Source organism: Homo sapiens, chromosome 13, assembly GCF_000001405.40.
Source record: "Homo sapiens chromosome 13, GRCh38.p14 Primary Assembly".
NCBI classification, from domain to species: domain Eukaryota; kingdom Metazoa; phylum Chordata; class Mammalia; order Primates; family Hominidae; genus Homo; species Homo sapiens.
Window position 1 is genome coordinate 62,696,859 of NC_000013.11, and position 27,824 is coordinate 62,724,682.

The 27,824-nt window shown below is 32.8% G+C and overlaps 1 long non-coding RNA gene across 1 annotated transcript in view; it reads right to left on the minus strand.

The window, feature by feature from the left end:
* LINC00448 (long intergenic non-protein coding RNA 448) overlaps positions 1–27,824 on the minus strand; it is a 135,075-nt gene that overhangs the window by 24,574 nt on the left and 82,677 nt on the right. Inside the window, exon 6 of the long non-coding RNA NR_047029.1 lies at positions 3,758–3,839. This is a non-coding gene — a long non-coding RNA (long intergenic non-protein coding RNA 448). The remainder of the gene's footprint in view (positions 1–3,757; positions 3,840–27,824) is intronic.

Sequence of the window (27,824 nt, forward strand, 5' to 3'; positions counted from 1 at the left end):
TTCTTGTTGGGCATTGATTAATTCAGACTGCTCTACTCTAATTCATACTCTTGTATTCACACTTCCTCGTCGGTATTTGAGCTTCCAAGTAGATGGTGATTACATTTTTTTAATATAGTACTCTCTTTACTGGAATACTGGCTTTATGATCCACCAAACTAACTGTATAGGGGAATCTCCAATTATAGAATGTGTACTCAGATACAGTGCATTCGATATTAAAAAATATATGTTAACCCTAGTCATATTAACCTTATCCGTGCTTCTGAATTGTAGATTATTTCTCTATATTCTATGCTAGCCTTCATTCATGGCATATATCAACAAATTCACTGTGAAAGCCCAATTCAAAAAACTGAAAAATAATCTGTGCGAAAAGAGGCAGAATCATGGCTTCCAAGGTACTTCTGGGTTGTATATGAGCTGCTAGATTGTATGTATCTTATGGATATTATTGACCTTGCACCAATTTATAACTTGGTACTATAAAAACACATACAACTTCAAAATGAGAAAAAAAAAGGTACTTGAGCACTTTGAAAATTTATTTCTTTTCAGTGTATTTTATTACTATTACTATTATTCTAGATATTATAATGCAAAAGACAATTTTTGCTTGGTCATAAATAAATTTATGCAAGTTATTTATGATTTCATCCAAAATAAAGTGACAAAACTGTGAGAGGCATTTTGGTGGATTATTTATTGAGTTTAGGAGAATGCTTACCACACAGAATAGAAGAGAATCAAACTAATTTTTCTCTGGCCACTGTCACTTCGAATCAATTTTTCTGTTATTTATATAGGGCAGCACAATGTTTTAAATTTGCCACTAAAAGGTAAAATCCATATCTTTTTCCTTAACTATTATGGATCACCCTACATAACTGCTTTTAGCAGATATCTGCTTTTCAAAAAGTGAGTATTTGCACATTTGAAGCAATGTGTCACATTTCTGCTTCACTGACTAGCATTGCTTTAAGTCTCTTGGATCCCATCATCTTGTGTTATGTCAAATCACATTGGCTTTTCTATGCGACAAAATATACAGTGGTGGAAGGTGACAGAAGAAATGTAATGCAATATGACACATCAGAAATTTAAAGGGTAAAGAGATTAGCTATTTGGTGTCAAATTAGATAGGGAATGTCAAATCCAAAATGAATCTGGCAGTCACTAATGGAGTGAAAGGTACAGTATTCACCCTATCTATGAAACAATGAATTCTGAACTTCATCAGAACATATTAAGCTAACTCAGAGATATGGTCTGGAACATCAGACAGTATTTTGGAAGATCATAGGCCTGCACTGCACTTCAAGGTCATAATGACATTGTTTACATAGATTTGATCCATATGATTCTTTTTTATAGAAAATATGCAATATTGATTATCATTGATAATGTACATGTTGTATTTAATAAATTATGAGTTTTAATTATGATTTTCAAAAGTGAAAGTAATACAATGGCATCCTGCCATGTTATACAGGATGGCATTATTTCACACAAACCAGCAAAAGCATTTTAAACTATATGGAATGGAATAAGAAGAACCCTTATGATCATGATAATACAAATTTCTGAAGATTTAGTTTGTACCTTTTACTATGTAAAGTTTTAAAATAGACATGGTATTAGAGGATTTTAACTTGGAAAATAATTGGTAAAAAGTTATATAGATTTATCTTTCCCCCCTCAATGAGATAATGGTAAGTGAGGATAAAATAAAGGCTAAAAGAAATTACCCATTTCTCTTGTCTCCTGTTGGTAATATTTAGTGATTAAAGATCACCATTTATCTGTTTTTTTCTGCACTTGGCACAATAATTTTCCTTGCTTACCTCAATATATTATTTTTTTAGAAAATTATATTGTTTTCTACTTATCATATTACAATTTACCATTTGCAACTGTCAGTTCTTTTCACTAGTGCATTTTGGAATAAAGTTTATTGAGGAGAAAACTTCCTACTGTTTAATTGACATTCACATTCAAAGAATAATTTTAAGAAAAAAAGCAAACAACTACTAAATTTGGGAGAAAGTAGTTTATCCTGTTCATCTTTATTTCTCTTCCCCCTTATCTCTTTCTCCTTTATCGTCTTGGGATTATTGAGCTAAAGCAAATGATTCCTAATGTTGACATTTAACCCTTTTTAAAAGACATGAAAACATTGAAGCTCTAATACGAGGCTGGGGCAAACTCTGAACTATTTTAATTTTATATTACTCCATAGATTAAAGGTGTAGGGTTATCTAATGAGAAAAGTAAAAAAAAAAATGATCTAAATGTAAACAACACACATGGATTACTTGCAAATAAGCTACTTCTGCTTTCTATCTTTTGTTAATCTAAAAGGTATTTTTATTTTTTTTTTTAGCAACCAGTGAATTTCTGAGGGAAGGCAGGAATATAAAGAGATCTAAAGAATAAGTAACTGATTGCTCTGCAACTCAGAGTGAATTATTATTTGTAAGCCTATTAGGATAAATTTATCAAAGATTAATGAAGGGTATTTCGAGAATTGGAGTTGAGATCATTAGACCATTCTAATTTGTCCTCCCTTTCTATCTCAGAGTAAAAATATCCTAATGGAAATAGAATGTCACTATATTATTAAAACTTGTCCTATATATTTTTCTGTTTGTATGTTTTTCAAGGGAGTTTATCAAACAAAATTCACTAAAAGGAGTTTAAAAACTATCACTTAAATGGTCAAATTTAAACATTTTCAAAAAGAAGATAAAAAATCTCTAAGCCAAACTTTTATTTATAGCACTTCCAAATACATTTCTGCAACTGTGGAAACTGCAATCTAAGCAACTTACTTAAAATTTGGGAAATTGTTAACATACTTTTAATGGAAATTTAAAAAAACACTAAATATCACTCAGTGTTGTAGCATGGCCACTTCTTTCTCAGCCTCAAGTTATAGTGAGTCAGTATTTTTGTTCATGCCCACATTTATAAAATTTTACTTTGAACTTACCTAAATTAACTCTTCAAACATTGTTTTATGATTTTGATATATATAATTAACCTATTCTATTAACATGTACACAAAAGCTATACATCCATTCTTTTAGTAATTTGTAACCAGAAAAATATTTAAATAAAATCCAGTCTTTGGACTATGTTTTGTATGTTTAAACACTTATGAGTATGCAATGAAAAACAACAAGAGTAAAATTCTCTCGATAAAGTCACATTCTCTGCAATTAGGACTAGGAGAAGCCCCTGGAAAGTCACATTCCTCCACAATATAAACTAATGTGATGTCTTGATTCTGATTACCGAAGTTTATAGACAGAGTTATTCAGAAGACATTTGTGAAGGTGGAACACAGAGATGTCCTGGGATACTCACGCTCACGTGATATCCTGAAAGTATTTGGCAGCTAGGTTTGCTTGATTGGTATGCCTCATTCAAGCAAGGATGATGGGCCTACACAATAGAGTTAGGGAGTGCCTCCATGCTTGTTAAATCTATGGCTTTTTCAACCTGTAAGGATCATCTCATCATCTACCCCTGCAAATCAGAAGGGAAAAGAGAAAAGAAGAAGAATATAGACCTACTTTGTAAACCCATAAATTAGAAGAGGAAAAAGACAAGTTGTAGAATGTGAAAGCCCTTCTTAAAATGTACCTCTGGCATACACACACAAAAAGGTACATGTTAATTCTCTTAGCCTTCCTTTGATTACAATAAATTAGAAGACCACACCAAAGGGAAAAGGAATTTAGAAATAGAGTACCTGGCTGGGCCCCTGGACCTCCACACAAACTGCCTACTGCGGACAGAACAGCATTGCTTTGGTAGAAATTTGGACATCTCTCCTAGACCAAACACATTCATTAGAGAATTATTTCTAGGCTCCACAATGTTATTTAACAAATGCTAATGGAAAGTTTTGGATAATTATATTTACACTGATTAAGTAATCACCTTTGTTCTGTTTATCCCTGCTATATTTCAAAAGCTAACAACTAGTGGACCATATATTTATACACAAAATAATTCAAATCAAATAACTGAGCCTGGAATATAGATAAAAATAATATACGTATTTCCCACTATGTATACTGCAGTACTTTTAATGTAAATTACATCAGACAAGGTGACAAATAGAATATTTACATACAATGTGCTTTTCATCTAAACCCTTTAAAAATATGCTGGAGGTATTCAATAAATAAGTACTATTTACTTATCTTTCTTTAAACATCATAATGAAAGTGAGAAAGACAACTATTAGCATGAAAGAAATGAAGGAAACTTTTCTTGCTGAAAAAGGAAGCTTTGGATAGTAAATACTACATAGTAGCTTCTGTATTTCCAGGCACAGTACAAAAGAAAGGATTCTCTTAGGTAGAGCTTTGTTTATAATGTAATTGACAAAAACTCATGAGACTTTTTAAATTCTGCCATATTCCCAATCCTTACACAATGAACTGAAATTTGAAACTTATGGCAATGCTTGGAATTTAGTTTGAAGTACAGCATACAAATCTCAACTGAAAGAGTGAATTCCTCCAAGTATATCATTACAGCTCGATCCAAATTATACACTAGTTGAGAAAAACTGCCTTTCAAATGTTTTAAAAAATACGTTATTTCTTTGCTTGTTCAAAGACAGTATATGATTATCAGATAGTATTTGATTAGGAAACTCTGTTAAAATCATTTCAGCCAAACCCAGGGCAAAGTGTTTATAATGTTTGTTCACTGTCATGTTCTATACTGAACATTATTCTCCCTACCCAAGGGTTCTCAACATTTATCACCAAATTTTGAACCATGTTAACAACTTTGAGGTTCAAGGTAAATTAAAAATGAAGAAAGCCAAGTGATAAGTTTTATTTTACAGAATTAAAAGAGATGAAAATCAAAGGCCAGGCTTAATGACTCACACCTGTAATCCCAGCACTTTGGGAGGCCAAATTAGGCAGATTGCTTGAGCTCTAGAGTTTGAGACCAGCCTGGGCTGTAACATAGTGAAACTCTGTCTCTACAAAAAAATTAGCCAATATGGTGGCATGTACCTGTGGTCCCAGCCACTTGGGGGACTGAGGTGGGAGGATCGCCTGAACCCAGGAGGCAGAGGTAGTAGTGAGCCGAGATCACACCATCCAGCCTGGGTGACAGAACCAGACCCTGTCTCAAAATAAACAAATAAAATAAAATAAAATAAAATAAAATAAAATAAAATAGAAAGTCGTACAGCAAGTGGTCAAACTAAAAATGGCAACAAAACTGAACCAAAGGACAAAATTCACATTATCACAATGGGAATAATTAGTCCATCTCTGAATAAAAGTATAAAGATAAATTCTTTCTAGAATTCTTGCAAGTCGGCTTTCTATCTAATAATTTAAAAAATGAGAATAAACTAATAAACCCTTTACTTAAGGCTTTAAAGTTTTATTTTCAGAAAAAGTGGGTGAATTAAATTGAAAGTCAGAATTGCAGCTATATTTTAGTGCACAATATATTTTTTATTAAAAAACATATATATTGAAAAATACTGCATGTTTTTGTATGATTATAATCAAAATAGATAAATATAGTTAGGAGGTCATTTGAGGATACCATCTGAGATAATTATAGCAGTATTTGATAGTTGTGATCCATGTGAAGTAGTGAGAAGATTACACTAAAAATAAATATGCTAGAACAAATTTGGCTAAAGTGTGCTTTCAATAGAATCTATCTTAGAATGTATTTTGTGTGTATATTCTAAAATTTATAATGACAGCATCTGCTATTTATTCATTATCAGATTATTTCAGCTTGCTTTGAAAAGGTTCTTGAACAGCCTTTATACCATCTGCCAGCAGGATGGGAATGTTTGCCTACAAAATTATCATTTTATGCACTCATTACAAAGTAGATAGTATGTCACCCTTATCACTTGCATGAGGACATAAGAGGCTGTTAAACTAGACTCTGTTGCAAATATATGTAATTTACATAATGTGATAAAGTATAATATTTAAGATACACAGGGCTAAGATGGATTTTAAATCATTTTAATTTTCTATTATTTTGGCCACTGTAGTCATCCTAAAGGGCTTGGAGCCCTTGAAATTGATTTTGATTATAATCATTATGGTTTTACAATGAAAAGTGACTTGGTGTGAGAGCACACCATCCATCATAACTTTGATGTAATTCCAATATACCAGGACAAAGCAATCCTAATTCAATCAAATAGATATTTAAAAATATATTATACAGCATTCAGAACTGCCAACTAAATATATACTAATGGATTTTCTGTTTCCACTGTCTAAATGACATTTATAAGGCTATGGTGAAGATGCAAAAATGATAATTTCTGAGCAATTATTTATTTTAAGAAACCAGTAAATCAATTAAGCTACCTGACACTTTATCATCTGATGAAAAATTTATAAGCTCGTTTGATTGTCATAAAAATAAAAGGATGTTGTCTTTGAAGATTCTAAAAGTCTTCTCAGAGCTAACATTACTGATAGTACACTGTTCAGACAGTGAAAAGGACATTTGAAGTTCACACCAAGGAGAATCAAGGAAAAGTTCAGTGTATACTTCTTGTAGTTATTGGATATACATTTTTTACATTTTTTAATAGAAAGAAATGCAAATATTAATGGTATGACTCTGTAAAAGGGAGTTATATTTTGTTATTTGCTTTAACATTTCTGTTGTAATATTTAGTTATTGTTTAGTTGATAATTTGTTTAGTTAACCCAAAAGAACGTTCACAAACATATTGTTTTTTACTAAGCCACTTTTAAAAGATCCATTAACAGAATTGCTTCTGGCAGTTTCATCTGCAGACCAGCAATTTTAAAGCCTTAGTTGTCACCAAACGGAAGAGTCCACAGAAGCTGAATAAAATAAGGAGAGAGAGATATGAGAAAACAGTTAGAGTTCAACACTGGGATTCAATTTATAAAGACCAAGAAAAGCCAAGTTTTTGTTTATGGTATTTGCACCTAGTTCCTCCTAGACTTAATCTCTTTTAAATAACTTTTCTAAAAAGCTTATGTTGAATTCCTGCCTTCCATTAGAATTCAGATAGTATTGGATGTAGCTAGTTTTGTTGTGCTATGCAGTGGTATATTTTAATTCATCTTTTTTTAGAGCACTTTTTTTGAAAAATTAAGACCTTAGAAAATAAATTTCTATCCCAAGTTTTTGTCTCCAAAGTAAATTTAAATGTACTTTTATAGATGACACATTGCCTACATTATTTTTATAATTTTTTATACAGCTGGTGATACTAATAATTATAATTTATTCAATACCAGAATACAGACCAGAGGACATTTTCTAATATTTTAAAAACCTGTTTATTATTAGTAGATGTGAGATTAACACATATTGCTGCATTACAGAACCTGTTCCATGAACAATAACATTTTAGAACAAATCATAATCTAAAAATGATTCACATTATATTTGTATTGACTGATTTATTTAATAATGAAATAAAATTTATATTTTAAACATAGTTATATTTATTCAAACAATACTCAGTATAATCATCTTTCTCAGAGGAGTCAGCTCCCTTGGTATGCAGCACAGTAGCAAAAATTATTGCTAATATTATTGAAATCCTCTCATGGCACTAATAAAATGTACAGCTGGTCTTTTCACCAGTACTGTATCTATTTTATCATATTGTGTTCTGAGCTGAAATATCCCATTACATTTTTTGACTTAAAATATTTTAGCATATACAGTCACCATAATGTAAAAAATGTCAAGAAGGTATATATATTATTATTTTTATTTATGGAAATGTTTACTTTTAGGAACAAGTACACTTAAATATTTACATACATAAAACTTAAATTTCAAACTATTTTGTTTTACGTATTCTGATTTCATTGGTTTGGATTTCCTCTTCACATATTTGAATTACAGTTTTCATGATTCATTCATTTTTTTTTCCATTTATGTTGTAATATATTCTTTTCAGCTCAAAAACATGTGATAGCATGAATGAAGGTACAGTGTATACATCCATAAGAAACCTAGGCTGCACATTTTTTAACATCAGTGTCCTGAGTTGCATTTTCATAATATTGACAGCTCTTGTTGCCATTGTACTGCACCACACTGAGTGTGCTGACCCTGCTGTGAAAGACCTTCTGTTATCAAAAATTGATGCTAAATCCAAGCTGTTAGCAGCAGCTTTTTATGTAAGTGCAGTAGATTGAACAAACAGTTTCAGTGCCCTAGAGTCATGGAAAGGTTAGAAATAGCTCTGACCATTAAATGATATCTATTAATTTTGCTCTGGAGAACAAGCTGCCCAGTTAGGCAGTGATAGAGATAATTGCTTTGACTGTGAAACCATTAAGCAAGTTTCAAAGAATTTCTTCAGTGGAAAGTATGATAATGCCTACTTAATGCTTTAAGGTAAACATTAAGCGTTCAAATGAGAATGAGAAAGACGTGTGTGTGTGTGTGTGTGTGTGTGTGTGTATGCATGTATAATTTTTCTATGAGATAAACTCTCATAGAAAATTAAAGTCCAGCCGTTGAAAATATTTGGATTTATTTGCCTAAGAAGCTATTTTGTTTGGGTTTTAAAAGTGTGAAATAATGAATTAAAAACAATGCCAACTGATTTAAGACACATATTTTCTAATTTAAGGGATCTTTCCATGATCGAACAGAAATAACCTGATGAAAGTATAAATAATTAAAATTTCTTGGGTAAAACTTTTAAATTTTTGAATACGCACACATCAAAATATATAGTTTTTGTCTTTCTCTGAATTTCATGACAGAGCTGTTAAGTTAAAGGGCAAGGACACAGAAAGATGAAGCCTAGCCTACAAATGATGAGAAAATGTAGGGATATATCATCTTGGAGTTTCTCAATATTTTTAAGAGGGAATTAGAAGCCAATGTGCATTGACAAGGAGGAAATTCAGGGCATCATAACCGAAATCTCTAGGATGATGGAAGCTACTGGCTAACATAAAGGCTTTACAGGTATACATATATGTGTGTGTGTGTGTTGGGGGAGTGTACTATGACTTCTAAAACTGAACATTTCTGAAACTGAAATTTAGTCTCTATGTCCCAGTGTTTAAGATACGCTCTCAATATATTAAATGTTAAAACAAGGTAGTCAAACATATAGGCAACCACATTAAATAACATTCTGTAAAAATGATTGTATAACAAACAAAACACAACGATAAGATGATCATGGAACATGCTACTCCTGATCTAATGAATCACTCTTAGATGAAGGCATATCAGATAAGTGAAGGTAGGAGGTTGTAGAATGAAAGAAATGTGCATTAGAAGCTTTGAATATCCCCTGACAAATGATTCATCTTTTCTACTTCTCTGTCTAATCGTGTGTTGTGCAGGTGCATGGAATAGTCATTCAGTTTTCTGGAACAGAGTAAATTGAAATGAATCAGTGTCTATGAATCATCAACAATCAATCAACAAAAACCTTCTGATGTATTTGTGGCTCAAAGCTAGTTGAAGGATTTCCTTCCTCAGGAGCCCATGGAGTGTGCACATTTGTGCGTCTATATTTAATAATGCTCACCATAAAGTAATAGTGTACCTCATTTTTTCTGTTTAAATACAATTTTCAGTTTAAATACAATTTCTCATTTTTTAAATGAGAAAGATGAAGCAAGAGAAAGTTGAACAAATATCTCACTGTCTTTTTAGTCATGAAGCAGTGAAAATTGGATGTGAACAGCTAGTCTGGTTTTAAAATCTATAAATTTAAACATAGTATTATACTGTATAGTGTGAGTAGGTGTCTTTTCTTCCCCCAACTCTTCTCTCACCTTTCGTTCATCTGTTTCCTGTCTCTTTTTCTCTCTGTTTATCCCACACTTTCTCTTTCCACCTCCACCTTCTTTTTCTCTTCTCTGCTTTTCTTTCTCCTTTTCCCCTCTTTGATTAATATTTCTTTTTCATTTTTCTATCACAAATTCCTAATAAATTATTTTAGATTTGTGGAATGTTAGCAAAAGCTACAAAGTAATATATATATACCTCAGAAACTCCAAAATGTAAGACAGGAATTTTTTTTTAATATACTAGTTCCCTCAGCTTCTTTGAGAAAATGAAAAAGAGAGCTCTGAATGTGCTTCAGGGCACAGGAATGAAGACCCTTAACCCAGGAAAGGAGAAAGCTGCCAAGCCCTACATGAGAACTACCCTAAGTAAGATGGCAAAATACCTCCCAGATGTGAAGGAGACAATAAGGACAATTTACTGAATATGAGGAGGAATAATTTTCAGTGTTCTCCTGGTAATATTGCACTGATTATTGTTTATGAGAGTGGAAGGGACGTAGTGAGAAGAGGGAAGGTAGCTTTTTGTTTGTTTTGTTTTTGTTTGCTTAAGAATATATAAACACTAATAGGGGAAATTATTCTCAGTGACATGTCAAACCATGTCACCAAATATGTCAGCCACAAAATTGCTAGGTGGGAAGTAACCCAGTTGGAAGTTTCATCCATTAAAATGAAATGTTTGCTAATAACACTCAGTGAGACCTCAGGGACCTGATGGGGAAAGGGAAATGCCTTTTATGACTTGGATCATTAATTTTAATTAATGAGGAACCTTTTGTTAAAGGTGTTTTAAGAACATTACTTGAATGCCTACAACAAGAAAAATGTATAATGGGAAGCAAGACTTACATTGCATAAACAATTCTTCTAATGGGACACATGGAATGAATAAATATTTCAGAAAAATAAAAAATGCAGCATCCCATACTTGTAAGGTTTAATCTCTAGAGAAATCAAAATGTAAAATACCATCTGATAATGTTAAATTCATAATTTGCAAAAATACAATCAACTTTATTCCCCACAGTTTAAATAAATTATCAAATAAATCTCTGTATGACTACTTGGCAGAATGCATTTATCTTAATATTTATGTTATAGATTCTATATGCTTAGTAGCTACATACTTATGCATAGTAATCATGTGTTGTGACTTTTAAGATCATGGTAAGAACAACTTAGCATGGGGTTGACCCGTTTAACAAAATTTTAAATGCCCAATACAATATTGTTAACTACGGACACAATGTTGAACAGCAGATCTCTAGAACATGTTTATCTCACGTAACTGAAACTTTTATACCCATTGAACAGTAACTCCCCATTCTCCCCTCCCTCTAGTTCCTGATAGCCACTATTCTACTTTCTGTTTCTATGAGTCTATTTTAGATACCTTAAATAAGTGGAATTATACTGTATTTATCCTTCAGTGACTGGCACATTTTTCTTAGCATAATTTTCTCCAGGTTCATCATTTTTGTTGCATATGGCAGGATTTTTTTCCTATTGAGGCTCAATATTAATCCAATATATGTAAATACCACATTTTCTTTATCCATTCATCCATCTATAGATGGTTTTTATTGTTTTCATATCTTAGCTATTGTGAGCAATGATACAATGAGATGGAAGTGCAGATACATCTTAGAGATTCGGATTTCAATTCTTTCGGATATATACCCAGATATAGGATTGCTGGATCATATGATAGTTTGATGACTACTACAGTTACTTTTGAAATAGTTTTTAATTTCTTCAGTGGTTATACCATTTTCACATTCGTACCCACAGTATACAAGAATTCTAATTTCTCTACATCCTTAATAACACTTGTTATATTTTGTTTTGTTGTGGTGGTAGTTTTTGTAATAGCCATTTTAACCAATGAGAGGTGATATGATGGTTTTGATTTGTATTTCTCTTATGATTAGAGATGCTTAGTTAAACATCTCTTCCTATCTCTGTTGACTGTTTGTATTTATTCTTTGTAGAAGTGTCTATTTAAGCGATTTAGCTATTTTCAGATCATTTTTGTTTTTGTTTTACTTTTGTGTAATAGAAGTTCCTTATATAGTGTAGATATTAACCACTTATCAAATACATAATTTGAAAATATTTTCTCCCATTCTGAAGGCTGCCTTTTCACTGTTGATTTTGTGTGTGTGTGTGTGTGTGTGTGTGTGTGTCTGTGTGTGTGTATGCGTGCTGAAGCTGTTTAGTGTCCTATAGACCTACCTGTCTACTTTTGCTTCAGTTGTTTGTGCTTTTGGTGTAATATCCAATAAATCATTACCAAAACCGATCATAATTTTTTTCTCCTTTTTTTCCCTAGGAGCTTTATATTTTCAGGTCCAAAATTTAAATATTTAATCAATTTTGAGTTAATTTTGTGTACGGTAAAAGTTATGCATTCAATTTCATTCTTTTACATGTGTATATCCAGCTTCCTCAGCTCCATTTAGTGAAGACACTAGTTTCCTCATTGTGTATCCTTGACATCTTTGTCAAAAATCAGTTTACTGTATATGTGCGCATTTATTTCTGGGCTCTATATGTCTATATTTTTTGCCAGTACAATACTGTTTTAATTATTGTAGCTTTGTAATACATTTCTAAATCAGGAAGTGTGATGCCGCCAGCTTTGTTCTTATTTCTTAAGATTGCTTTGGCTCTTCTGAGTCTTTTATGGTTTTATATAAATTTTAGAAGTGTTTTTTTCTTTTCTGTAAAAAATGGCATTGAAGTTTTGATACACATTGCTGGAATCTGTGATCACTTTGGGTAGTATGGACATTTAAAAAATTTTAAGTCTTCCAATCCATAAATACAAATGTCTTTCCATTTATCTGGATCTTCTTTAGTAAATGCTTTGTAGCTTTTTAGCATACAATTGTTTCAACTCTTTGCTTAAGTTTATTACTAAGTATTTCATTAATTTTGGGGCAATTATAAAGGGGATTTTTCTTAATTTCCTTTTTGGATAGTTCATCGTTAGTGTTTAGAAACACAACTGATTTTTGTATATTTATTTTGTATTCTGCTATCTTACTTAATAAGTTTATTATTTCAAATGGTTTTTTGGTGAAGCTTTTAGAATTTTATCTGTGGAAGATCATATCATTTGCTAACAGAGGTAATTTTGCTTTTCCTTGACTATTTTGATGTCTTTTATTTCTTCTTGGCTAATTGCCCTTGTTAGGGATTCCAGTACTATGTTGAATAGAAATGGTAAGAGTTCTTGATGTTAGAGGAAAAGCATTCAGATTTTCATCCTTAAGTGTAATGTTAACTATGGGCTTTTCTTACATGGATTTTACTGTGTTGAGATAAATCCCTTCTACACTTAGTTTGTTGAGTGATTTTAATATGAAAGGACGTTGGATTTTGTTAAAAACTTTTCTGCATCTACTGAGATGATAAAGTGATTCTATCCTCCATTCTGTTAATTTAGTGTATCACAATAATTGATTCACCTATTTTGAACCATCACTGAATCTTAAGGATAAATTCCACTTAGTCATGATCCTTCTACTTTGCCATTGAATTTGGTTTGCTAGTATTTTGTTGAGGACTTTTGTATTTATATTCACCAGGGGTATTGGCCTATAAGTTTCTTTTGTTGCTGTTGTTTTTCTTGTAGTGTATTTTTCTGGGCTTGGTATTAAAGTATGTGATTGTTAATTATATTTTCTGCTGACATATTTTATTATTGGTTTCCAGGTATTTTACTAGGAGTTAATTATTCTGTAAAAAGGTGGAAACTTCTTGGATAATACTGAGGAAACTATCAAATGCTAATACAGAAAAAAAATCAGTTTTTGTTCCCCTAATTGAATTCTAGTTGTCACTTGGGGTTATAGATTGCAACATCCTATCTCAGACTATGGTACAATTATCTCTGTGGTGCCACACAGAGTTCCCATGAAAACAAATAAGGTTGTTAAGTTTAGTAGGAAAGAAGAAGAAACAAGTCTTTGTTCTTTTTATTTCAGACTGCAGTACAATAAATGAGTTATCAGAGTTCCCCTATTTTCAGCTTCTTAGAAAAGAAAAACATGCAAGTTTGAAAGAAAAAATGAACTCATTTATTAAAATCTTAACATCTTCTTATAGGTTTATATCTTTGTTTTATTTATTGTTTAGATACAAAGAATTTTCTTAGCCATATGATTTAAAATTCTCATCTAATAAACTCAATTTCATGAAGCTTGAGCATGACTAAATGCATTTTGTCAGCACCAGGCTACTTTCAAACATGTGTTCAGACTTCTCACCCTGACAGCTGTTCTCTTTGCATTCTGCTTTTTATGTAATACACTTGAGGCAGGGTGACATCAGTCAAGCCATATTTGAACAGAAGAGAGAGTTTCCTGTGTTAGAATTTCTAGGATGCATCATTTAACTTCAAATGATGCATAAAGCATAGTTATAAAAAACAATCTTACGTTGTAAAATCTGTGAAATAGTTTCCTTATGATATCAAGGTAATAACAGCCATGCCAGGTAAAACTTGGTCTTCTAAATGTTAGCTCTAGTACACAATACTTTTTAAAAAAGAAAATGAAAGCTATGATTTTTTAAACTATCTATTTTGATCAGCTTATAAAAAATAGGGTAGAATCTCTCTCTCTCTCCGTTTTACTTTTTCTCTCTTCCTGTTTCTTCTACTCTCTGTGAACTAAGTCAAGGCCTATTTATCTGAGACAAAATAATACATATTAGTCCAAGTTGTATACAGAAGCACTAAAACTTCATTTCAAAATTTATCTAGTGTGTGAAAAATCAATATTATTACACAGGAGTGAGACAACTTATTAATATTTAATAATAATGACTAATCTTGTTTATTTCATTTGTCCTTTATTTCATTTTTTTTTTTTTTTTTTTTTTTTTTTTGAGACAGAGTTTCACTCTGCCACCCAGCCTGGAGTGCAGTGGTGTGATCTCGGCTCACTGCAAGCTCTGCCTCCGGGGTTCATGCCATTCTCCTGCCTCAGCCTCCCGAGCAGCTGGGACTACAGGCACACGCCACCATGCCTGGCTAATTATTTGTATTTTTAGTAGAGATGGGGTTTTACCGTGTTAGCCAGGAGGGTCTCGATCTCCTGACCTCGTGATCCGCCCACCTAGGCCTCCCAAAGTGCTGGGATTACAGGAATGAGCCACCGCGCCCGGCCCCTTTATTTCATTTTTAATGTATAAGTTTTATAGTGATAGAAATATTCTGATCAAAAATAGAGATAAGGTCAGAAATAACCCAATATCCATCAATAATGGAATATTAAGATGAATAATGAATCTGCATATTATTAAACAATTGAGATGCAAAGCTGGCTGGGCTTCTGGGTTGGGTGGGGACTTGGAGAACTTTTCTGTCTCTCTAAAGGTTTATAAATGCACCAATCAGCACTCTGTAAAAACGCACCAATCAGCGGTCTGTGTCTAGCTAAAGGTTTGTAAATGCACCAATCGGCACTCTGTAAAAATGCACCAATCAGTGCTCTGTGTCTAGCTAAAGTTTTGTAAATGCACCAATCAGCACTCTGTAAAAACGGACCAATCCGCATTCTGTAAAGTGGACCAATCGGTGCTCTGTAAAATGGACCAATCAGCAGGACGTGGGTGGGGCCAAATAAGGGAATTAAAGCTGGCCCCCCAGCCAGCAGAGGCAACCTGCTTGGGTTCCCTTCCATGCTGGGGAAGGATTGTTTTTTTGTTGTTCACAATAAATCTTGTTGCTGCTCACTCTTTGGGTCAGCAGTACCTTTACAAGCTGTAACACACCACGAGGGTCTGCAGCTTCATTCCTGAAGTCAGTGAGAACACCAACCCACCAGAAGGAAGAAACTCTGGACACGCCATCTTTAAGAACTTTAACACTCACTGTGAGGAACCAATTCCAGACACACAGTGAAACATAATGGGGTAGATATTTACTGATATAGAATTCACATTTTTAAAAGAAAAATTAAAAGATTAAAAACAAGTATGAGAGCACTTTGTAAACAAAATAAAACAAAAAGTAGATATTTAGGCTTGTGAAGATTTATGCTAAATTGTTGAACATACAGTCCTATAATTGAAGAAAGAGTGAAGTTCTGGCTAGGCGTGTTGGCTTGCACCTGCAATCCCAGCACTTTGGGAGGCCGAGGTAGGCGGATCACGAGCTAAAGAGATCAAGACCATCTTGGCCAACATGGTGAAACCTCGTCTATACTAAAAACAGAAAAATTAGCTGGGCATGGTGGTGCGCACCTGTAGTTCCAGCTACTCAGGAGGCTGAGGCAGGGGAATCGCTTGAACCTGGGAAGTGGAGGTTGCAGTGAGCCGAGGTTGCAGTGAGCCAAGGTTGCGCCACTGCACTCCAGCCTGGCGACACAGGGAGACTCCATCTCAAAAAAAAAAAGACTGAATTTCTGACAAAGGTCTTTGCTGTTTTATTTTCACCTTATTCATTAATGTAAATAAAAACATTAAGAAACAATGTCAGAACTACATCTGCTTATCACTTCCAACAATATAATTGCTGCAGATATAAAAGTTTAGCAAAATCAACTCACGTTTTCCAGAAAAATAGATACATGGAATTCACAAAAATGTTTTACATACACATTATTTGTATCAGTAAAATGTATGATTTGTAGATGTATATTTCTTGTACTTCATGAACCTCCTTATAAAATGAAAATTCAGGGTCACAAGACGAAAGATGGAGTCTCAGGCTTAAATCATTTTCTTTTCCTCAATAACTTTAATTGCAATCCTGTTTTTTTTATTTTTTATTTTGTGCCTGCTGTTTATTTTTTATATTCAACGCCTCATCACAAAACCAGACACATCCAAAAGTTGTTTGTTTCTGTAATTTCCAATTTATTTTCCACTACCTAAAACATGATAATGCTATAGTGGAAAGAGACTTCACATAGGTTCTCTTTTGCTTTTCACTGTTTGTTGATGAATGTATTCTAGTTCCCGTCCAAATCAACCTCATACATTGAAAGAATCCAGGGCCAGTAGCTTGCAGCAAAAATCTTATGTAATGGTCACAATTACTTGTTCTAATCAAACTTAGGTTTTCCTTTTTATCTAGTCAGTAGAAATGTACTTAATTGCTTCCTGCAGTTTTCTATATATCTTATCACGTAAAGAGGTAATTCTTCTTGTTAGTATATAGTAAATAACAACAACAACAAAAAACCTGACAACTGGTTGCTAGTTAATTTTCAGTCTGCTAAACCATTTCATTTTCTATTAGATAATTGACTTCAGAAACTTCAGACATGTTTGAGCCAATTGTAACTCCTTGGGCTATACTCTAAACATCCTATTAATATAATTTGTATATTTGCTATAATTTATTGTGGCTAATTAATAAATATATCCATATTTTATTCTTCCTTAACACCTTGCAAGACTACAGTCACAACACTTTGCATTTAATTGGAGCCATATGACTCTTTCTCAATAACTGAATTAGCTGAGTTGTTTATTTCGGTGCATGGAGTACAAAGAGGTAAAGACCTAAAACTAAACAATGAGGAACTCTGAATAAGGATTAGCTAATCCTACAAAAGATGACTGAAATTAAGTGGCCAGTTGGGAAAGAATCCAGGTGAGCAGTGTGCATCACAACTCTGAGCAACATATGTTTAAACAAGAGCGTTGTCAACAGTGCTAAACACAATTGAACCTTGAGAAACATGGCTTTGAATTGTGCAGGTCCACTTATGTGTGGATTTTTAAAATAAATATATGGGAAAATTTTTTGGAGATTTTTGACAATTCGAAAACCTCACAGATGAGAGTTTGCCTAAAAATATTTTAAAAATAAGAATAAGGCATGTTATAAATGCATAAAATGTATGTAGATACTAGTTTATTTTATGACTTACTGGCAGAAAATATACAGAAATTTATTATAAAATGTTAAACTTTATCAAAACTTATGCACTCACATACACACTATTCATGGCTGCATTTGTAATTGAGAAAAATGTAGAGAAACAAAAAAATGAAGTATGAAATTGTAATGGCATAAAATTAATGGTATTACATAACGTACTACTGTGATAATTTCATAGCTACCTCCTGTTTCTACTGCAGTGTGCTCATGTGTTGCTAGTATCTACCAAAAAGGCCATGTGATGCTAGTTGTCTACACGTGAGCAGTTTGATATTACATAATGTACTACTGTGGTACATTATGTACCACATATGTTATTAGATAAGGCAGTACTGTGGTAATTTCATAGACATCTCCTATTGCTATTGCGGTGTGCTCATGTGTTGCTAGTATCTACTGAAATGCCATGACAACATGCTAGTTGTCTTCATGTGAGCAGTTTGTCTTTCTAGTAATCATATATTGCAGCAAAAAGGGATCTCTCACAGCGCTCATGTATTTTTCATTGCGCTTAGTGCAATACCATAAACTTTGAATAACACCATGGGACTCATATGAAGAGCCACTAGTGATGCTGGAAGTCCTCCCAAGAAGCAGAAAAAAGTCATGACATTGCAAGAAAAAACTTGAATTGCTTGATAGGTATCATATATTGAGGTCTGCAGCTGTGGTTGTCTGCCATTTCAAGATAAATAAATCCAGCATAGGGACCATTGTAAAAAAAGAAAAGAAAATTTGTGAAGCTGTCACTGCAGCAACACCACCAAGCATGAAAATCTTATGCTTTTTGAAAATATCTTTTCATCTCATACTGAAAATGCAGCTTTTATGTGGGTATGGGATTGCTGTAAGAAAGGCATACCTATATACTTTAATACAATTTGAAAAAAAGTGAAGTCCTTTCATGACAATTTAATGTAAAAGGAAGGTGAAGGATCTAAAGTTGGAGAATTTAATGCCAGCAAAGAATGATTTGATAATTTTAGAAAGAGATTTAGTGTAAAAGATGTCAGTTAACAAGAGAAACATCTTCTGTTGACCAGGAATCAGCAAAGTCCCCAGACACCGTTAAGAAAATGATTGAGGAGAAAGGATGTCTGCCTGAACAGATTTTTAGTGCAGATGAATGTGTGCTATTCTGGAATAAAATGGCACAAAGGACATTTATTAGTAAAGAAGAGAAGCAAGCCAGGATTTAAGACAGAAAGGGATAGGCTAACTCTACTGCTTTGTGCAAATGCAGTCGGCTTTATGATCAGGTTTGACCTTACCTTATAGCTGCTGACCTCTGAGCCTTGAAGGAGAAAGATAAACATCAGAGGGAAGTCTTTTGGTTTGACAACAAAAAGCCCTGGACAATGAGAATCTTTTTTCTGATTAGTTTCATCAACACTTTATTCCTGAAGTCAAGAAGTACCTTGCCAGTCAGGGACTTCCATTTAATGTTTTCTGATATTGGACAATGCTCCTGGACACTCAGAACCCCATGAGTTTAACACTGAAGGTACTGAAGTAGTCTAGTTGCCCCCAAATATAGTATCTCAAATTCAGCCTCTAGATCAGGGACTCATAAGGACCTTTAAAGGCTTATTAAGCATGGTAATCTATGGAAAGAATCATCAATGACAAAAAGAAGAACCCTGATAGAGAGAACAGCATAATAATCTGTGAAGATTACCCCATTGAAGATGCCATCCTTGTTATAGAAAAAGATATGAAAGCCATCAAGCCTGAAACAATAAATTCCTGCTGGAGAAAGCTATGTCCAGAGGTTGTGCATGACTTCATAGGATTTACAATGAGATAAGCGAGGAAATCATGAAAGAGATTGTGGCTATGACACACACAAAAAAGAGATGGGGAATGAAGGGTTTCAAGAATGCTGTTAGACACCACAAAAGAGGAATTAGCAGAAGATGACTTGATGGAGATGAGTGCTTCCAAACCAGTGCCAGACAATGAAAAAGAAGGTTGTAAAAGAAGCAGCAGAAGCAGTGCCAGAAAACAAATTGATGTTGGACAATCTGGCAGAAGAGTTAAGATTATTTAAGATTGCTTTTGACCTATTTTGGGAATGGACCGTTCTATAATATGGACACTAAAACTAAAACAAACGGGAAGAAGGATTGGTGCCATATATAGACATTTTTAGAGAAAAAAAGCAGAAGAGTCAGAAAGAAATCATGATGTATTTCCATAAAATTTCTCCAAGTGTGCCCACCCCTCCTACCTCTCCTATCACCTCCTCCATCTCTTCACTTCTACCACCCCTGAAATAGCAAGACTAGTTCCGCCTTTTCCTCCCCTTTATCATCCTACTCAATGTGAAGACTGTGAAGACACACACCTTCAAAATGATCCACCTCCACTTAATAAATAGTAAATATATTTTCTGTTCGTTATGATTTTCTTAGTGATATTTCCTTTTCTCTGACTTACTTTATTTTATATGGTATAAATACATATAACATACAAAATATATGTAAATTGACTATGCTATTGATAAGGCTTCTGGTCAACAGTTGGCTATTAGTAATTAAGTTTTGAGGGAGTCAAAAGTTATACACAAATCGTTGACCCTGCAGGGCATCCATACCCCTAACCCCTATGCTAAGAGTCCGTTATAATGCTTAGAAATCAAATAAAATAAAGTCTAAAAAACTCCCATTAAGAATGACCAAGGAGTCACTAGGATAGGATTTTATACGTTTCTAGGATTCTACCATGTTGCAAACCTTTATTTCCACTGCACTTTGGCTCTTTATCTTGTGCTCTTTTCATCTCTCAGAGTAGAAATGCTTTACTCTCATTAAGGGAAGCTATATTTATATTTTGCCCTATCTTTTGACAGTTGATATCCTACATAATCAGATTTTCAATTTTTATTTCAAATTTTATTAAGATGTTTTTGAAGACAAAGTTAATACCCTCAGCTGTTAAATTTTTCACCTACAATTATATCTACCATACCCCATAAAAAAATTGAGCTATAAAAGGCATGGCAGTTTTTCCTACATAACTTAGAAATGTAGGCATAACAAATCAACAATGTATTTGTAACTATGTTCTTCCTAGAACTGTTAGTTCTTAAACAGAGTCAAAATGTTCAGATATTAGAAAGTAGTAGAACCAGCGGAAACTATTTTTTTCATATAGATGTCAAAATAACTGACTCACACCTTAGCTCCCCTCAATCTATGGCAATTGCCCATTCCATTTCAAAGTGCCTTTGGAAAGTCTACCTCCACAGTGACTGAACTAAATGTCATAATATTTAGAGGCAGAAATTAATTCAATATGATTGTAAAGCAGTAATATTAGCAGAACATATTTATATATGATTCCTTCAAGAGGACCATAAGAATGACTACTATGGGCTCTCATACCATAAATAGAAAGGTATTCTTTTATATTTTCATAATGCAAAGCCTTTAATAATGCTCTAGAAATAGAAAATAAACTTCCACTAGTCACTGTGTGAGAGAAGTTACAGATATATCAGATATATCAAAAGTGTGTTCCTGCTTCTCATATATCAATATATATTTTTTACCTTTAGCAAGATTAACAACATTTTATCAACTTTAAGCCTTACCTTCTCATGAAAGTCTTTTTTTTTCTGTTTACTCTTTACTCCCAATGCAGAGCTCATAAATTGTAATAATTTGAAGTTAAGCAATTTATGATTGCCATTTATTTTCAGGTCTCTTCTTCTATTCCATTACATGTGTAGGAGAATTGTATGTGTCCAATTCAATATGCTCATTTCAAAAGTCTGAGTTTAAAATGCAACCTCCCCTTCATTTCTTATTTCTGTTTATCTGAGAAATTGCCCTTCTTTACAAATTTGGAATTAAAATATTCCTACAAAAGTCCAGATCTCAAATAAGGAAACAATCATCACTAATGACGAGAGAAAGAATACCAATATTCTTTAAATGGTAATTACTATTTATATGTTTCATTTAGAATGAAAAGTATGGAATTTAGATTTGAAAACCATAATTAATCTCACTTTTGCCAATTATTTTGTGATTCAGAAGTAAGCTTTTAATCACTTAACCTCAGTTACTAGATCTGCATAGCACATGATTTGCTACAATTTAGGCATAAAGATTTATGGAAAATATTAGAGAAACATATGCTGTTATTGTTATTATTGATCTTTACATATCCTACTGTGTAAAGCATTACTACATTGTGATTTTGTTAAAATTTAATTGACTACATTAAGTTTTTATTTTTAAAATTATAATAAAAATGTCTATACTTATGAAACAGTCTAAACGAGACACAGTAATAATAATACTTGCAATGCTTAAACAGCTTACACCATGAAAGACATCATTCTGTATGCCTTATATATAATTTTCCAATTAACATTTGCAACAATTTTCTAAGGTATGTATTTTTGTTTTTAATTGACAAAAATTTTATATATATGGTGTACATAATGTTTTGACATATGCATACATTGTGGAATGGCTAGATCAAACTAATTAACATATACCTTGTTTTTAAAAATGGGCCATGGACCTGAATAGACATTTTTCAAAAATAAAAAGACATATACATTTGACCAACAGGTATATGAAAATGTCCAACATCCCTAATTATCAAGTAATTACAAATTAAACTATGAGATATCACCTTACATCTATTAGAATGGCTTTTATCAAAAGGTCAAAATTTAAAGTGTTGAACAGGATGTGGATAAAAGGGAACCTTAGTATATTGTTGGTGAGAATATAAATTAATAGAGCCATTATAGAAAACAGTATGGGTATTCCTCAAAAATTATAACTACCATTTGATTCAACAATTCCTACTGGGTATATATGCAAAGGATTTGAAATCAGTATGTTGAAGAGATAGCTGCACTCCCATTTTCACTGCATTATGTACAATAGCCAAAATGTGGAATCAACCTAAGTGTTCATCAACAGACGAATCTATAAAGAAAATGTGTCACATGTATTCAATGGAATACAATTCAGCCTTTAAATAAGAAGGAAATTTTGTCATTTGAGACATCATGGATGAACCTGGAGGGCATATGTTAAGTGAAATAAGCTAGGCACAGAAAAAGTAATACCACATGATGTCACTTATATAGTCTAAAAACCACTAACTCATAGAAGCAGAGTAGAATAATGGTTCCCTGGGGCTGTGGGCTGGGAGGATTGGGAAAATAATGAGTAAGGGGTACAAAATTTGAGTTAGACAAGAGGGATAAGATTGAGAGATTTGTTGTGCAACATGGTGAACTCAACATGAAAAAATGAGGTATATGTTTTATCATCTTTTTGTGAATAAACCAATGCAAAAAATGTTTAAGTAATGTGCTCAAGACTAGTAATTATCGTACATAGGTTTGGCATATATAGGCTGAAATAAAATTATCTGCTTTAAATTACAGCATTCCATTCTCTGACTATTATAAATATTGTTGTGTTTGTATGGGTCATTTCAGAAAAAAAATTAAAGTACAGATTTTTAAAAACTTTTTGCTGCTCAATTGAGAGGAAAAAACAAACTTGTTTTCAGAGCAATTTGTTTGCCTGAATAAATATTTTATTTCACACAGCCAGCTTCATTTTTAAGAGTTTCATAAAATATGTGTTAAAAAATAAAATGCCCTAATTTTTTATTTACTTGCTGTAGGAACAGCAGACATCTTTTAACTGTACCTCATATTATCCTTTCAAGAAATAGATATGCTATTTGAAGTAGAACTTGCTAGAGTAATTAAACATTAATTCTAAATTTTAAAACAAATCATATAATAAAATTTGCTTACAGAAAGGATCTTTAGCCTATTCTGCAAAATTATCCTGCTTTTAATAAACAACAAATTTGTGAGATAATATAATACATTATGGAACAAATTTACTTCATTTTCTCTGCCATGCTTACATTTACAACTACTCTATTAGATAAAGAGAAGAGATTCATAAGAGGAGAGAACTGGCAATAAATTTTATTCCATAGAAGGGATGCACTAATGTGCCATTTAAATGCTGCATTAACATTCTATGAATTGGGACTAAGACAATTATTGTCTGCCAGCCACAACAAAGAAGACAGGTCAATACTGTTTTTTCCCTTTTAGTTTTGTTTTTATTGCCTTGTTGTATGCTGGAGTTGAAAAAACAAGCTTTTAAGAAATTTGTTAGCTCATTAAGCATAGACTATTCTTGTAAATCAGAGTTTAAAAAAACCTGAAATATAAAATTCTTTGAGCCATAAATACATTATGCCCTTAGGAAATTTGCTTTGTACTATGTATACTTCTTGTTTTCAGTGAAAATATAACATGGAGCTATGGTAATTTCAACACCTTAGAAAGGTTTGATCAAAGATTTTAAGAAACAGCAAATAAATCTGAGTGCAGAAGTATTCCTAACATGTCAACTAACATTTTATGCTCCCATGCATAAATTTATAATTCTATATCTTTCACTTTAGACACATTTATCATCCATTCTGAATGCTGGTGTTTTACCTTCAATTGCCATTTTTAATAATTTACATTTCCTTTGAGTATTACTATATCTATTAATCCACAATTGCAATCTCATTATGAACCAAGCATATTGTTAGGCAGTGGAAAGACAGCAACTCATTAAAGACAAATGTCAAGAACCTAAAAATGTAGAAAAATTAGAAAACAACCATGATTATCCAATTTGCAGTGTTATGACAGAGACAGAGACATGTACTGAGTGCTTGGCGAACACACATGTTGACTACTCCCTGTCAGCTTATTCAATGATATAATATGTGCAACTGCATCGATGTCTTTTTGGTCATTTTAATGAATTATGCAAACATGTATCATTATTATTTATTATTCCCTATGGTAAAGATAATTCTGAGATGACTCCTACTGACCCATATCTTTGTGCAACTCACTCCCCTTTAGTGTGGCAAGGACTTGTAACTTTTTCCTAAGCAATAGGACATAGCAAAGCTGATGAGCTATCACTCCTGAAATCATGTTATATTATATGGCAGAGGTGAAAAGATTTTACTGATACAATTAGGACCTCTAATCATTTGCCTCTAAGTTATTCAAAAGGCAAGTTTCCTGGCTAAATCTTATCTAATCAAATGAGCACTATATAAGAGGGTCTGGATATCAGAGATAGAAGATATTAAAGGTTTCTTCTTCCCTGCTGTCCTGAAAGAGCCAAGCCATATGTTATAAAGCTGCAAGAAAATGAATTTTGCCCACATCCACATAAGCGTGGAATAGAACTGTATTTAGGATCACAGTTTTAGTAGACACCTTGATTGCAGCATAGTTAGACCCTGAACGTAGGAGCACTTAAGCAGTTTCTAGACTCCTGACTACGAAATAATAAATGTCATTTTAATCTGCCAAATTTGTGATAATTTATTAGGTAGTAATAGAGATCTAACACGTTTACCAACTTATTTTTAGTCCATGTTGTAGAGGAAGTGTACACTAAGAATTAAGAAAGAAGAAAGGTAAATAAGGCACAGTTCCCGACCAGGATGACTTTATGTTCTAGTTGGGCAAATAAGACAGTACTTGTATATAATGTGATTGAATAAGTGGATACAAAGATTAAAATGGATTAATTTAAACAATGTGATGAATGCTTTAAAAGCAATACAAATAAAGTGGTTTGATAAAGCACTGGTAAAAGAGATAACTTGGATACCATGGGAAATCAAGTGAGGTATCATTTTAACTAAGCACTGACAGGTGGTACATGCAAAGTCTGTGCTGGGGAGAAGAAAGAGTTCCAGAAGGTCACAGTAAATTGAGGGCACTCTTAGAGATGAGAAATCTCTTCTCAAGCTCAATTGGAGCGGCACTGAATTAGACTACGTGACCCACATATGTAAATAAGAAAGGTTAATGGTGGAAAGGAAAAGGGCCCCAGATCCCTTATGTTCCTAAGTGAAAACCTAACTAAGATAGTTTTTATTACATAGGTAATGGAGAATATTAGAGTTAGCACTCTCCAACATTAATTGTATTACAGTCGAGTGTCCCATTCTTTATTCTGAAGCCTCAGTTCTACTTAAGAGTTAGTTCACCATCCTTTCCTTCTGGTTATGATATTCTCCTCATTTGTCAAAGTCATGCTGCAAATATATGATGATCAAGTGATTCTATGGTGAGTCTTCCTCCTCTCAATTCCCTTTTCCATTAATTTCACCCTTAAATACATGATTGGCACATAACTTATTTTGTTTCAACATGAAACAACATTGCAGTGAATATCTGTACACCCACAATCTAAAATCTAGCATTCCATGATACTTGTTTTATTATGTATCTATCTATTCCAATGTTTGTTCACCAATCCGTCAGAGTTTTTTGATACATTTTAATGTAAATTGCAGCCATTATGACTACCCCACCTCCACCAATATTTTAGCCTCCATGTCTTTAGCTAGGGTTTAAAAATTCTTTGCTGTCTTTTTCTTTTCATATAAAATGTAAAAACAAAAATGCACTGTGGTGGATTTAATTTACATGAATCATTTTATGTGTCAATCTGCCTAGGCCACAGTGCCCAGATATTTGGTCAAATACTACACTGGATGATTCTGGAAAGGCATATTTTTGATGAGATTAACATATAAACCAGTAGACTTTCAGTAAAGCAGGTTACCCTCCTTAATGTGGCTTGGCCTAATCCAATCAGTTGGAGACCGTAAGAGAAAAAAGACTGACATCAACTGAAGAGGAAATTTTGACAGTAAACTGTCATCTTTTAATTCTAGCTGCAATATCAACTCTTCCCTGGGTCTCCCACCTACCAGCCTACCCCACAATTATTTGAGTGTATTCCTTAAAATCTCTCTTTCTCTCTCTCCAATATATTTGTGCATATATTATTCAGGGTTCTCCAGGGAAATAGAACCGATATGATGGAGAGAAATTGGTTTTATTTCTCTGGTGAATCTATGCACAAATCTTACATTCCTTTGTCAATGGTGTTGAAGATCTTTTCATGCACTTATTGCTCACTTGCTTTTCTTTGAAGTGCCTACTAAAATCTTTGACTATTTCATTTTCTTTTGTTTTCCCTTTTTATTGAGTTGTAGGAGTCCTTTGTATTTATTGGATACCAGTCATTTGTCAGATGTATATTTTGCAAATAAATTCTTCCATTCTGTGGCTTGATTATTTATTATCTTTCTGGCAATGTGTGATGAGGAGAAGTTTTTTCTTTGAGTAATTTTAATCACTGTTTTCTTCCATTATCTTTTGGTTATGGCACTATGTGACCTAACTAGAATCTTTTCACTAGCCCCAGGCTACAATAATATTCTCTCATGTTTCTTTTTAAAAAGTTGTATGGTTTTAACTATTATAATTAGGTCTATGATCAATATCAAATTATATTTTGTATATAATATGAAATAAGGAGTTCAAATTTCCATTTTTGCCCACATAGATATCCAGTGACTCCAGAAACATTTGTTTAAAATTTTGCCTCTCCCACTGGATTATTTTGGCAACTTCTTAGGGAAAAAAAAATATTGTATGAGGTAATTGATATATAATTTCTGGGTTCTCTTCTGTTCATTTCTATATCTGAAATTTGTAAAGCTAATTCTACATTGTAGTAACTATTGTACTTTATAGTCGGTCTTGATGTCAAATAGTTTTCTAAATTTTATTGATTTTTAAGGTTGCAGAGGATATTCTTCAATGCTGTAAATTTTATATAAATCTAAGAATATGCTTGTATTAATTTTAATAGATTGTATTTTGCCAGAAATTTGTCCATTGTGACTAAGTACTATTGGCATAAAGTTGTTCATAATATTGTTCCAGTATCTTTTTAATGTTTGCAGTTTCTGTCTGATAACGCCTCTTTTGTTCTTGATATTGTTGGCTTGTGTTGTCTCTCTTATTTTCTTGATCCATCTAGTTTTGAGGTTGTTAATTTTGTTGATCTTTTTTCATAGAACCAGGTTTTGACTTTACTTTTGTTCCATTATCTATGTTTTTGCGATGTTAATTTAAGATCTTATTTTATTAATCTCCTTTCCTATATCTGTTTTGATTTTAGTTTGCTCTCCTTTATCTAATC